We start from the raw sequence: 14,902 nt of genomic DNA, 5'->3' as shown, positions 1-14,902 counted from the left end.
TGAAACACCTTGCCGCCTTTCACATCCTCAGAAAGACCTTTCCCCACCCTCTCCTTGAGTGGCTACCCAGTAGCAACTCAGTCACTATCATATCATTTAGTTTAAACTTCAGCTTAGTATGTATCATTATTTTGCCTCTTGTTTATTTGTTGTTTTGCTTTTTATTTCTCTCTTAAACTAGAATGTAAACATCATGAGAGCAGGGACTTTGTCTACCTAGTTTAATCCACTGAGTCACCTCAACTGTGTAATGTAATCTTTGAGGACCCTGTTAGCCGTACACATATGTGCTAGTTCAGAGGAATCAGGTGTCCTGCATGGCAGGCTACTTTCACAACTGTAACCAGGAGTGCCAAATTATGAAAATAAACGCTTGTATGGATTGTTATATGCATCTTTTAACATGAGGTTTTATCATTACTGGTTAAACAGAAAATGGGAACTAGAGGGAGAAGAAAAAGACCAGGAAGTATGAGCTGAATATATTTTTCTTAATCTTTTATTGGTGATAAAAGTTTGTCATTCAACTTGTGATTTATATTTCTGAGAGTGAATTTTATTTTTCTGTTTCCCCAGACAATACTTCTTTTTGGTTTAAATCATTATTGACTGACTCTGATTTGATGGGAGGTGTAGTTTGGTCTTCCTCACTGCTTGGCTGCACACACAGCTCCTAGGCCTCACTTTCCTCATTTGTAGAACAAAGTGTGTTGTATCTTCTACCCTGAAGGTGTTACGACTCTGTGAGATAAGATTAGTCTTTCCATAGATGGTTAGGAGATTGTTCCTTCTGTCAATCTAGAAAGAAAGAAAATTTGTGCCGGCTGTCATAGCATTTTCTCTTCTTTTCCAACAAACCTTTTCAATACATCTAAGTGCTTGTGACAAATACTTATTTTGTGCATTATATTTAAGAGTGGTATACAAATAAACAATGAAACAGAAATTCTACCACTTTTTATTTTCCATCACCTTGAATATTTTTAAAGCAGCACACTAAAACCTACTTTTTACCCTATAAATTAATAATAAAAAAGCATATCTATACATTATCATTCATGCATTCTCTGGTCTTTCCATTAGTGATTTGTTTCAGTTTGAGATGGGCCTTTCATATTAGTCTTCCATTAAAGTTGAAGTTAGTGTTATTAATACTAGTAGAGTTTTACACTTATAGCATTATATTAGATATGAACAATTTTCATTGCTTCACCTGAAAATGCTTTGAGAGAAAAGTAACAGTGAGGTGTACTGATAAACAGTGATAGAAACATCATCAAACTGAGACTTGGACATAAGAATAGTGATCATGTACCAGGGACAGGCCCGGTCTCTAAAGCATTTTATATTTATTTAATTACTTAATCCTCAAGACAACTACTGTTATATCACAGATGAGGCACACGGAAAGTGAGGAATTTGCCCAACATCACAAAGTAAGGATTGGGGCCAGGACTCAAAGTTAGGTGCGGTGTAGCTCCAGAGTCTGTACCCTGAGCCCCTGTGCCATGGTTCCCTCAGGAAATAGGGGTCGTAGTCCTACTCAGCCACCTCCCTAGCTTTTCAACATTTTATGCAAGTTGACTTGACTCTCTGTGCCTCTGTTTCCAACTGTAAACTCAGCAGAATAATAATGTGTGACCTTTCTCATGAGAATGGAATGAATTAATAGAGGGGAAGAATTTTCAAAGAGTGAAGTAGATAATAAGTGTTCATTGTGCCCATTTATTATTATTGTTTATGTTTTTTTGCCAAGTGTTTTATTTTGAATCTACTCAATATTTAATAAAAATAAAGTGTTACAGAAATTGGATTTGATTTCATATCTCTGACTATATATTAAAACAGGATATTAATGAAGAAACAAAACTTTATGAAACTATATGGATTTAGTGCAATAGAGGATAAAAATTGAAGAAACAAACTGAAACCACCTTGAAGAGAAAAGTCTTAAAATTCAGACAACGTGAAACATTATCTATCATATATCCTTATTCAAAAATCAATTTATGAATAGGGTAAAGACATAATAGAAATAAAAAGCAAGGAAATACTTTAAAAATATTAAGAAAACTAAGATGATGGGTGTTATACTTTATATCTATCTCAGTGAATCAACATTCTACACCTAAGACATGTCATTTTTACAGGTTTCCAACTTGGAAGTCATGCAGGAATTGATATGTGGCTCCATTTATTAGAAGCACAGAGAGTCAAATTTAAGTTTTCCTTTACCCTTTCCTGCTATTTAATTTAGAATAAAGAAAATCAAAGTTTTGAAGGTGAGACAACAAAATAAAAAAGCTTCTATGGAAGATTTTTTCCTTCTCTCTTCACAGGGAAAAGTAAACAGGTTAATGAGGATTTGTCACTTAATTTTGAACGCCTACATTTCTCTGAGGTCTGAGGGCAAATTAATTAGTATAGATTCTGAAGGAAGATAGAACTGGCCACCTCACCAGAATGTCTTCTCCCACCTCATCTTGGATTTTCTTTTTTCCCAAGAGAGAATTCTGAGGCATCTATATCAGGTTGTGTTGATCTAGCTCGAGCAAAGTGTTGTTTCATATAAGGTTATTAAAGATTTCTATAAGGCAAAGAAGTTTGGAGAATTTTAAAATGACATGAATTCTTGACAAATACAGAATGATTATATCAAAAGTGTAAGTGGCTAAACTAAGAGAAGATAAAGTTTCCTGGAGTTTATATCCAAAGCATATCTTTGAGGCATGTCAACACTACTTCACCCAGTTTTTGTTTATGAAACATTTTAACGCCTTTCTAGCTACATAGTGCAAAAGCAGCTGCTTTGTGAATTTAATTTTAGAGGAAGATGGAAAAGCTCTATGCAACCTGGCAAGATATAAAAGGGTTTACTTAGAAAATGTAGACAAATATCACAATAAGACTAGAAATGGTGAAAGACAATCTGCTTTCCCCTAGGGGTACTGTTTTACTTGTACATCTGTCCATTTCCAACTTTCCAGTTCTTTTCTTTATTGAGATTAGGTATCCACCATCAATTTATTGGAGTGTTTAGAAGAAAGACATTTTGGCTAGAAGGATTGTGGACCTGGGAGACCCTGTTTCTTGCCATACTGAGGGAGTCCTATTCTACTATGAGACTCTAAGTACTTTGAAATGAAGAAAGAGATTATTAGGTTAACTCAATCAAATTACAGTTGGCCCTTTGTATTTGTGGGTTCTGCATCTGTAGATTCAACCACCTGCAGATTAAAAATATTGGGAAAAAATAAATAACAATGCAATAAAAATAATACAAAATTTTAAAAGTACAGTGTAACAACCTACTACAGTATAATACATGTGTGAATAGTTGTATTAGGTATTATAAGTAATCTAGAGATGATTTAAAGTGCACAGGAGGCTGTGTGTAGGTTATATGCAAACACTACACATTTTTATCAGGGGTTTGAGCATCAGTGGATTTGGTATTCACAGAGGTCCTAGAATCAATCCTCTGTGGATACCAAGGGACATCTGTATTGCTTATACAGTTGATTAATTATTACAGATTTGTCTTGGGTTTTAAAATGGTTTTCACTTACAAGTTGCACCTCATTCATATTTATTTATTTTGTTGGAGGGCAATGCTGGTAGGAGAGGAAGACACTTATTTTTGGAATTGGGATCATACATTCTATAACCTATTGCAGAGAGAGAAATTTTGTGGTGTTTTTAACCATTGTGTATTAAAAACAAGATTGAAGGGCAGCAACAATTTCAATAATTTCATGTAATTTCCATTTATTTTATTTCCTAAAGGAGTTGAATTATATTAAATTTGGGCAGCTACCAGTTTTGTACCACCAAACACAATAGATTATGAAATGACCCTTTAAATGAAGTCCCTCTGTGGCCTTCCAATGACCAGCTACCCACCAACCCTAGTGACATATCTGATCATGGAGACATCTAGATACCCATGATACCTATAGCACTGTTGTCCAAAATTTGTGTTCTAATATGTCAGTACATAATGCTGTGTGACAGAACTGCTTTTATTTTTCTGTACATCACTGTGTTTTAAATTTAAAGAAAGAAATGGATGCTAGATAAATTACTATGGTTTGGGATCACTTCTACACTCCCCCCACCTTCCCAAAATAAACCCCATAATATTTTGTAAATCCAGGTGCGGCTTTAATTACAAGATCTACTTTTTTAAAGAAAATTAATTACAATTTTTTAAAATATCTAACACACTTTCCATTTATTCCCACCCCACCTAACCTTCAGGATTTTGTACCTGTACCTGGTACCAGCTGGCCAGCTTTCTGCCAAGACTGCCTTTAATACACTGTCAGTTCACTTCATGAGTCCCTGAGAACAGTTGAAGTTGATCCAACAGCCAGTTGTTCAAAGATTCTATTGAGAGTAGTTTATTTTATTCTTGAGCATCTGTAAAGATATGCTCCATTGCGAATTAAGCCTTTTTAGTGACAGAGTACCTGATGACAGAACCCCATCAGCCTTATCAGGATAAGTTCCCTGACCTCATTATTGCTAATGGATCCATGGTAATTCAGCCTGTTGTGAATTCTCATGTTCAATTATGCAGGATAATGAGTGACTCAAAACTTAATATGTCTCAGCTATCGTCCTTATGATGGGACTTGTACAGCTTCTTTCAAAAGTGAAACAATGTTTTAAGTAGAGTGGTTCACTTTTATGTCCAAACAGAAGTTATCACTAATATTCAGATGACCTGATTTTAAAATAAGACAGAATTGCTCTATAACTTTATATTTCACTGATCCTTTTGTAGGAGAGTTAGGACAGGTTTATTCATTTTTAAATGTTAATTCTGGAATTCTAAAAGTATGCAAATGGCATTTGTCTTTGGATTCACAAAAACTCTAGATATTCAGAGTTTGAATTATTTAAACTCCCACAACACATGCACTTTTGCTTTTCAAGCATGAGTTATAATTTAATTAAAAACTTCTGGTGCATTGCTAGCGTTTTAAATATTAATATGTTCCATGGATCACTTTCGATTATCTACTGTCTTGAAATTCTTGAAGATGTCAGATTTTTAAGATTCCCAAAGTTGCACTTGGAATTGTCTGTTGAGGCAAAGGGGACTGTGATAATTACACACATCCATTAGGATCAGCAGAGGAGATAAACTTTGGGGAGGTTTAATGGGCATGTCTCAGTGACAGCTAGCAAAGAGCATTTGGCATGATTAAGGATGGATTTGAATGCAGTTGAAAATATACTCTCATTATGGACACCCAGTGGAAGTTGCACTACAAATGTTAAATTCCCCAGAAGAAGAGTAGTGTGGCAGGGAAGCTTTGAAATCCACTGTGGCCATCAGCCAAATTATTCTCTTTCCTTTATGTCTTTCTCCTGTCAGAATCACTTTGTGATGCCCATTTCAACTCCCTCCATCTCTGAAAAGAGGCAACCTGTTGATCTCTGTATTTCAGATTGTCCGAAGATACATCAAGGATTGGCTTGAGAGAAAGAAGCCTCCTTTTGGTGCTATCAGCAGCAGTGTACTCCTCATGATCATCTACACAACATTCTGTGACACGTTCTCTAACCCAAATATTGACCTGGATAAATTCAGCCTTGTTCTCATACTGTTCATAAGTAAGTTGGAAAATGGGATAGCCTGGCTATCCCTCAGTGTCCTCAATAGCAACGCGTAGCACTGTGTGTTCTCTAAATTCATGTCTAGTGTTAATTTGACTAGAAATGAATGCTTAATTTTATTTTACATTTACTCAGTGACTTTATTCTGTTCTTTTAAAATACATCGGCTTTACACTTATATCGTAATTTCCTTTGTTTTTGCGTCTGCTGCCCCATTTTCTGATTTATAGTAGTTGATGTCAGGTGAGAGAAGCCTTAATTCCTGTCAGATGCAAATGTTAGATTAAGCACTGTGTCACCAATTTAGTTTATTATAGCTTTAAACTGATCTTACCCCTTATTGTGATTTAAAAACAGGATGTATAATATATGATACTATTATTTCTAAGTATAATAACTTGGCTGCGTTGGTTAAAATATGAATATTTACATCATATTTTCTAATAAAATTTACCCAAAATAATGTCATTTCATTTTGAGAAGCAGCAGACTATAAAATGCAGGAAACTGCTAAAGCTCAAAAAGCAACCTTTTGTTCTATTTATCCTGTTATCCCAAAGACAACTGTTACTAATGTTGTAATATCAAAGAATCTTTTGTTATTCTAAAGTATATTGTATGCTACTGCATTTGTGATATTTGTAGAAATATTCATAGTATAAACCAGCTCTTTCTAAATTGACCAAATTAAATAACCAAATCTTAAAGAGGCCTTAGGTTTTCCCTCAATAACAAAGACTGTTTCTGGGGATATCATCAATAAGAACAGACTGAGTCCCACTAATTTAAATGATTCTTTCAATTTAGCAAGGCATGCTTGTTTGGTTTATTTGTTTGTTTTTCTTTTTTAGTTCCTATAAATTTTAGATAAAACAAGTATACCAATAAGTATGCTACAAATACTGCTTTTAGAGTGCTAATTTAGATTCAATCTTTTTTTCTTCAGTATTTTCTATCCAGCTGAGTTTTATGCTTTTAACTTTCATCTTTTCAACAAGGTAAGTGATTTGGTATCTCTTGTTATTAGTTTTCTAAATTAGGAATCATGCGGTCTACTTGGCTACTATGCCACTATACACGTTTATATTTTTTTCTCCTTTTACATATGTTTTTCTCCTGTCTCCCTGACCATTCTGCCTCCCTTCTGCCACCTTCAAATTGTAGACATTACAAAGGGTCTTTCCTTGGCCTTATCTTGTCTATCCACATTGAGTGCTTAGGCAGGCCCTTCCATTCTACTGGCTTGAGCTGTTAGCTTCATACTGATGATTTTCAGGTGCAAACCATCCATTGCAATGTTTTTAACTGAGTTTGAACCCTATGTTTCATTTACCATTTAGATATCTTTACTTGACTGTCTTAACAAGACCTTAGACTCAAGATATTCAAAATGGAGTCATGTTTTTCCCAAAAACTGCCTCTTTCTCTTATTTCTTTCCTTATTTTTAGTGAACCACCATCCTCAAAGTTACTCAAGCTGGAATCCTTCACATCATTTTTTTTTCAATTTCCCGATCCTACTTCTGTAATATTTTTTCTGCTCCAAAAGCCACTTCCTTAATTCAGGCTCTTGTTGCCTCTTTCTCTCTAGGCTATTTCAATGGATATCTTACTGATAATTCCATTTCTACACCCAACTTTTGTTATGCATTTCATAGTGCTTCCAATGACTAGAATTCTGATCATGGCTCTCTGGTTCAGATATCTTCAATGGTTATCCAGTGCCTATAGAATGAAGTTTATTTTGGGGGACAAGGTACTCTAGTCTATTTTCCAGTCTCATGAACCACTACTAGTATTCATGCTGTCTAAGCTTTAGGTTGATGTAAAATCTTTGCTGCTCCCTGGAAAGACCTCATGCTTTCTCATTTCTGTCCCTTGCTTAGGCAGTCCCCATATCCAAATTAGTCTCCATGTCCTGGTTCCTCCTTCCTGTTCTTAAAAGCTTACCTCAAATGCAAATTTTTCCACCTTTATTATACGTTACAAATATTACTTGAACTTTTGGTTAGAGAAAGTTACCATGGGAATGCCACAAATAAGAGGTGATTTCAATCTTGCACTGATAACCCAAGTGTCCTCTGGGTGGTACAGTAAGCCAACCTGTATTCAGTTCAAAGAAGAAGGAAGCACTTCCCAAGAGAGTATAGAGCAAGGATTCATGGAAATGATGGGGCTTGACCTGAGCCATACAGAATGGCTAATTGTTCAGCAGTTAGAGATGCCAAGAGGGAGTTCTTGGTGGGAGAAGAAGCAATAATGCAAATGTGGACACATACAAAAATCAAGATATGGTGAGACAAAAGGAGTAGAGGAAGATTAGAAATAGTAATAGTAACTGGAAAGGTAGGCTTGAGCCAGATTGCAAAGCCCATGAACACCAGGCAATAGCAATGAGTGACCACAAGGGAAAGAGCCTATGCTGTTTATAAGGCTTGAAAAAGCGTCAGAGCAGTGGATGGTGCAGGCTCTCACATTAGGCACTTGGCTCTCACAGCACTTGGTGTAGCACTAGGCTGATTGTAAACAGTCAATAAAAACTTATTGATTGATGTAATTTGAAGCATTTTCCCAAGCTAGAGATTGTGATTTATGAAGTAAGAGTAAAGCCTGGAGCCATTAAGTCACAGAGAAAATGTGACTTAATTGGGTAAGTCTGAAAGCAGGAGCTATTTTAAAGTTCTTTTTGTAAATGGCTTGTTATATCACCTTAGAAAAGACATTTGCCTTTCAATGGCAGTTTGTTTGCTTGTCCTTGTGGCAAAAGTGATCATCAGAACCACTCCTCCTATTGGATGAGGTAGGATGCAGATATCCTGTTAATGACTAAAAATTTTCTTGAAAAATAGAACATAGAGCAGCCACTACTGGGACTGCTAAAGGAGGCATGGGTGGCAGAAGTGTGACACCTAGTTGAACTGAAATTAAGATTTATGGCACGGAGTAGACTGGACTTTCATAAGGATCTGTAATTTTGAAATCCTTCTTTTCTTGCTTATTCTGCATTCACTGAGGTTCTGTCAGGGTTTTTGTTTTGTTTTGTTTTGGTTTGGTTTGGTTTGGTTTAGAGACAGGGGCTTGCTCTGTCACCCAGGCTGGAATGCAGTGATGCCATCATAGCTTGCTACAGCCTCAAACTCATGGGCTCAGGTGATCCTCTTACCTCAGCCTCCTGAGTTAGCTGAGACTACATGCAAACACCACCATGCCCGGCTAACTTGTAATTTTTTGTAGCGACAAGCTCTTGTTATGTTGCCCAGGCTGGTCTTAAACTCCTGGCCTCAAGTGATTCTCCCACCTTGACTCCCCAAAGTGCTGGGACTATAGGCATGATTCACCGCAACTAGCATCTGTCAGGTTTTTAACTTCCTTGACTTACAGTCAAACCAGCACTTTCTTTGATAAACGACAGCATATAGCTTGAACATTTCTCCCTCTCTGCACCCCCTCCCCGCCCTGTCCCCTGCCATAGTCATCTACTAATGATTTACTTCGAATTTGTCTGAAGCCTAAATTAACTCTCACATAGCCTCATTCTCTGTTCTCAAATTCCTGGCTTGCCTGGAGAATATCTGTACCTTTTTTTTTTTTTTTTTCTTTTTTGAGATGGAGTCTTGCTCTATCGCCCAGGCTGGAGTGCAGTGGCACAATCTCGGTTCACTGCAAGCTCCGCCTCCTGGGTTCATGCCATTCTCCTGCCTCAGCCTCCCAAGTAGCTGGGACTACAGGCTCCCGCCACCACGCCTGGCTAATTTTTTGTATTTTTAGTAGAGATGGGGTTTCAGCATGTTAGCCAGGATGGTCTGGATCTCCTGACCTTGTGATCCGCCCACCTTGGCCTCCCAAAGTGCTGGGATTACAGGCGTGAGCCACCACGCCCAGCCCAAGAATTTCTGTACTTTTAAAAAAATCTGGCTGGGTGTGGTTGCTCACGCCTGTAATCCCAGCACTTTGGGAGGCCAAGGTGGGTGGATCACGAGGTCAGGAGTTCAAAACCAGCCAGGCCAACATGGCGAAATCCCATCTCTACTAAAAATACAAAAATTAGCCCAGCGTGGTGGCGTGCACCTGTAATCCCAGCTACTCCAGAGGCTGAGGCAGGAGAATCGCTTGAACCCGGGAGACGGAGGTTGCAGTGAGCTGAGATCACGCCACTGCACTCCAGCCTGGGTGACAGAGCAAGACTCCATCTCAAAAAAAAAAAAAAAAAAAAAAAAAAACTAATAATCAGAGATGGGGCATTAGCTTTGCTACTTTGTAATACATTACTTTTTACTTTTCTCTGTCCTAGTTGCTAGGAAATGAGTTGATTCATCAAGCCAAGAGTCAGCTATCCAATGACCTAACCATTCTGCAACTTTGGGAAACTGCAAATTTAAAAAAAAATAAGCAACACACACATACATTGAAAAAGCTTAGAAAAGGAAAGCAGTAATTGGAAATCTTTTAAAAATATATAAAAAGTTAAAAAGTTTGGTAGGCTGATAACTAGAGTAACAGAAACCTATATTGTCATTAGAGTGGCAAAAGAAACTGTTAATGAAGGAAAAGGAAGAAAACAAATATTTGTATATGTGTTTTAATTCTGATCAGTACATTTCCAGTGAGATATCTCAATCTGCCTTTCACCATAGCCCTGGGAGAAGCAGGATGGGAGAATGGGAAAGGGAAGCAGGCAAGGAAGATGGCGATGATCATTAATGGTAAGTTTTCTTACCATTTCAGAGGAGGCAACTAAGCCTTGGCACCCTGGGTAGCTTGTTCAGTGCCACCCAGCTAATGACGGAAGAGGTCTTCTCTGAAAACGAGCAGAGACAAAACACAGGTACAGAGGTTAACAAAGAAGAGGCCTCACTTGGAAGTTTCCTCCTCTGAAAATAGTGGGCTTAGACAGAAGTATCTCAAAGGACCTTTTCTGTTCTACATTCTGTGATTCTACTAGTAAAACCTGACATGTTTTCCTCTGTGGGTACTGCAAAGGAAGGCAAAATAAACATTATGTGGAAAACACTGATTGAAAGCTTTGTAAGAAAGAATAAAAAGACCAGTTGGGAAGAAAAGGAAATAAATATCTCAAGAGAAGGCAAAGTGATCAAAAGAATCATTAAAAACAGGATAAAAAGAAAATCAATATTAAAAAGAGATAAGGTAGAGTTAGAAAATAAATAGTAATGTGATTCCTTTCAAGAATGTGAGCAGACCCAATAGAGATGTTAATCAGTGAGAATAATTTTAGTCATTACTACTCAAATATGATGTACAGGACACTTGATTTTTCTGGGTCTTGTCATGACCTTGTACCATGAAGTCCCCCTTGACAGAGTATGGCTAAGGGTGGATTATTTACCAAGATAGCTGCCCTCACCCATTACATTTTGTAGTGTTTTTGGTTTTAATATTGTCTTTCTCAAAAGGGCAAACTTATGACCAAGGTTTGGGGCAACCAACTTACTAGTTGTGTGACTTTAGGGGAGTTGCTTAACCTACTTGTGTTTCCAGTTCCGTTTTTGGAAAAAGCAGAGCAATAACACTATCTGTTTGTATGGCTTTTCTGAGAAGGAAGTAATACTGGCTGCAACGTGCTTAGAAAAATGCTCAATAATGCTTATGCTGTGGTAATTTACCACCCTCCTGAAGAGAGGGTTAAGTGAGCATCTGCTCTATCAGCTTTCCCCGATACAGCGCTCCAGTCCTACATAGCTAGAGTACAAGTCAACCCTATTGAGGAGGAATATTGTTTTTAACCTTAAATGTTCCCTTTTTATGCCTTAAGGTTCTAATCCTCCTTCCCACTCATGGACTTTTTGTCGATAAGACTGTAGAGCAGTGTTACTGAGAGCAATGAGCCAGAAATCTCCCAGTGTGGCCCTAGCTTTAGCCTCCTTACCTGAAACAGAGGACAAGTAAGCGTATCTTGCAAATATCCTCTTTAGCCACATTGTGAATGCTGCTCTAGTGAGCAGCAGCCAGCGCCAGATTAATTCAGAGCCTCCTTGACCAGAGAGACTGTGACACACTGGAAATGTGCTGTAACCTTGAAAAGAACAAGATATCAAGCCGAACACAGTTTACTAAAGGAAAAGTGTAGTGCAAGACTCTAGGAAGAAAACCAAATGCATAAACCCAGATGCAGCCATGGCTGATATAAACAAGGGCCACAAAAGACAAAGTTTTTGAAGTGCTCCTAACACCACAAACGTTGCTGGACAACATCCCCTACCTAGGACAGCTGATCACATTACATGTTCTACAATCACTGGAGGGCACTCACTCCTGCATGGAAGTTTTTTTATTCATTGTTAATTGACTGTAATTCATATTCTCCAATCTGCCAATTTCAAACTTTTCTAATGTATTTGATTCCCAGGCCTTGGAATTAACTCAAAGTTGGCTCACACTTTACAAAGAAAGTAAAATCTCTGACATAACTTGCCTCTGCTTGCCCGTTCTCTACCTGAAAAATCTCCATATTTTTCACTCCCCTTGTTCACTTTTGCTTCCAGCTCAGATATGTTAGGAAATGCCCTGCTCCAGATAACTTCTTTATTCTTGGCTTCTCAGGCCTCTTTGGGACCTATGTTCATCAGGTATTTCTCTCTGCCGTGTCTTCACTTTCTCTTTATAATCATAGTCAAATATCCTGTGACCTTTTTCTTCCCTTTGCCAGATTTCTTGAAAACACAGTCCTTACCACTCCAAAGACGGTCCTTCTCACCAGTCCAAACTCAGTCGTTCTCACCACTCCAGACACAGTCCTTCTCACCACTCCAGACACGGTCCTTCTCACCACTCCAGACACGGTCCTTCTCACCACTCCAGACTCGGTCCTTCTCACCACTCGAAACACAGTCCTTCTCACCACTCCAAACTCAGTCCCTCTCACCACTCTAAACTCAGTCCTTCTCACCACTCCAAACACAGTCCTTCTCACCACTCCAAACACAGTCCTTCTCACCACTCCAAACTCAGTCCTTCTCACCACTCCAAGTTCAGTCTTTCTCAACTCTCCAAGTTCAGTCCTTCTCACCACTCCAAACGCAGTCCTTCTCACCATTCCAAACACAGTCCTTCTCACCACTCCAAACACAGTCCTTCTCATCACTCCAAACAGTCCTTCTCACCACTGCAAACACAAGCCCTCACCACTCCAAACACAGTCCTTCTCACCACTCCAAACACAGTCCTTCTCACCACTCCAAACTCAGTCCTTCTCACCACTCCAGACACAGTCCTCCTCACCACTCCAGACACGGTCCTTCTCACCACTCCAGACACGGTCCTTCTCACCACTCCAGACACGGTCCTTCTCACCACTCCAGACACGGTCCTTCTCACCACTCCAGACTCGGTCCTTCTCACCACTCGAAACACAGTCCTTCTCACCACTCCAAACACAGTCCTTCTCACCACTCCAAACACAGTCCTTCTCACCACTCCAAACTCAGTCCTTCTCACCACTCCAAACTCAGTCCTTCTCACCACTCCAGAGTCCTTCTCACCACTCCAAACACAGTCCTTCTCACCACTCCAAACACAGTCCTTCTCACCACTCCAAACTCAGTCCTTCTCACCACTCCAAACACAGTCCTTCTCACCACTCCAAACACAGTCCTTCTCACCACTCCAAACTCAGTCCTTCTCACCACTCCAAACACGGTCCTTCTCACCACTCCAAACATGATCCTTCTCACCACTCCAAACACGGTCCTTCTCACCACTCCAAACACGGTCCTTCTCACCACTCCAAACTCCGTCCTTCTCACCACTCCAAACTCAGTCCTTCTCACCAATCCAAACACAGTCCTTCTCACCACTCCAAACTCAGTCCTTCTCACCACTCCAGAGTCCTTCTCACCACTCCAAACACAGTCCTTTTCACCACTCCAAACACAGTCCTTCTCACCACTCCAAACACAGTCCTTTTCACCACTCCAAACACAGTCCTTCTCACCACTCCAAACTCAGTCCTTCTCACCACTCAAAACACAGTCCTTCTCACCACTCCAAACTCAGTCCTTCTCACCACTCCAAATTCAGTCTTTCTCACCTCTCCAAGTTCAGTCCTTCTCACCACTCCAAATTCAGTCCTTTTCACCACTCCAAACACAGTCTTTCTCACCACTCCAAACACAGTCCTTTTTACCACTACAAACTCAGTCCTTCTCACCACTACAAATCTAGCATACATCAGCATCAACTCCTTGGCCTCCTTCCCAAGGCTCACTGAGCCTCCTCTTTAATTCTGTTTCCTTAATGCTCCTCTTGGTTCCATATACTCAAAATTTCTAATTTCTCTTTGGTTCTTCCTTCTCTCTCAAAGCAATAATAATAATATCAATATCCCCTAGCTTGTGTTCAACATTTACATTGTGCCACATTCTTAACAAGCACTGGCATTTATCCCCACAATTGATCCTAAGAGTCAGAAGGTCTTATACTCATTCTACATATGAGAAAAAGGATGGCCTGGAATTAAAATCAGGTGTGTTTGCTCCAAAAGCCTGCACTCTTGAGCTGTTGGGAGGTACTGTTGCACAGAAGTTAACAGAAATTCTTTTCATCCTATCTCCATGTCTCTTTCCACCATCTCCTGTTTTCACTCTGATTCTTTAGACCCTTAGAGCTCCCTGCTTCCTGCCCAGCCTCACCATCTTTAGTCTTACACCATGCTGTGTGATCACTTCTCCTTAAGAATGGATCTACTTATGTCATTCTACTGTCCCAACTCCTTCAGCAGTTCCCCTTATCCCATCATATCAACTCCATACTCCTGATCATAAGCCAGTGTCCCTGCACACAAGTCAGCCTGAAGAATCTGTTCTTTGCCAACTGCCCCCTACACTCCCATACTGCAGTCTCACTGTCCCCTATCTAAAACACACATCTGCACATATCTAAATCTATTCTTTAAGGCTCAGCTCAATTGTTATTTTTTCCCAGAAGGTTATTTGTGCTCTATCATCATCTCCTACTTTCCCTGCCAAGCTAGAGGTGATCCTTCTCTTTCAGCTGAAAGCACTCTATTTCTCTCTCCTCTCCTCTTTCTCATGTATGTCTGTAGTGCTTTCATCTCTCAGCCCATGCATTTACGGAACCTTATGGAACTCCTTCCCCATTAGGCCTACTGTGAGGAATAAAGGGATGAAGAAATATGAAAGCCATGTAATGCAATGTTTAAAAAACAAGAATGCTATTACAATATCAATATGAGAATAAAATGTAGAAACAATTAAGCCAGTCTTATTATACTCAATAAGAGTATATGATATGCATC

The 14,902-nt window shown here is 39.1% G+C and overlaps 1 protein-coding gene and 1 long non-coding RNA gene across 12 annotated transcripts in view; one reads left to right on the top strand and one right to left on the bottom strand.

The window, feature by feature from the left end:
- SLC10A7 (solute carrier family 10 member 7) overlaps nucleotides 1-14,902 on the top strand; it is a 267,960-nt gene that overhangs the window by 222,386 nt on the left and 30,672 nt on the right. For 9 of the 10 annotated variants that reach the window (XR_007057973.1, XR_001741332.3, XR_938780.4 and 6 more), the window contains 2 exons: nucleotides 5,460-5,625; nucleotides 6,575-6,626. The exons of the other annotated variant lie outside the window; for it this stretch is intronic. Coding sequence is in view for 6 of the 9 variants with exons in the window: in NM_001317816.2 (NP_001304745.1) it covers nucleotides 5,460-5,625; nucleotides 6,575-6,626 (218 nt within the window). In the remaining 3 variants the exon portion in view is untranslated. The remainder of the gene's footprint in view (nucleotides 1-5,459; nucleotides 5,626-6,574; nucleotides 6,627-14,902) is intronic. 10 annotated transcript variants of the gene reach the window in all.
- LOC105377472 (uncharacterized) lies at nucleotides 482-4,360 on the bottom strand. 2 transcript variants are annotated; one of them, XR_007058304.1, is made up of 3 exons: nucleotides 4,277-4,360; nucleotides 2,460-2,587; nucleotides 482-798 (listed from the first exon to the last, which is right to left on the bottom strand). It is a non-coding gene; the product is annotated as an uncharacterized LOC105377472 (long non-coding RNA). The 2 variants fall into 2 exon arrangements; XR_007058305.1 differs by having other exon boundaries at nucleotides 535-798; nucleotides 2,478-2,587.

Source organism: Homo sapiens, chromosome 4 (genome assembly GCF_000001405.40).
Source record: "Homo sapiens chromosome 4, GRCh38.p14 Primary Assembly".
Lineage (NCBI taxonomy): Eukaryota > Metazoa > Chordata > Mammalia > Primates > Hominidae > Homo > Homo sapiens.
Note: the sequence above shows the minus strand (reverse complement) of the source record. Positions and strands in the feature narration are given on the sequence as shown.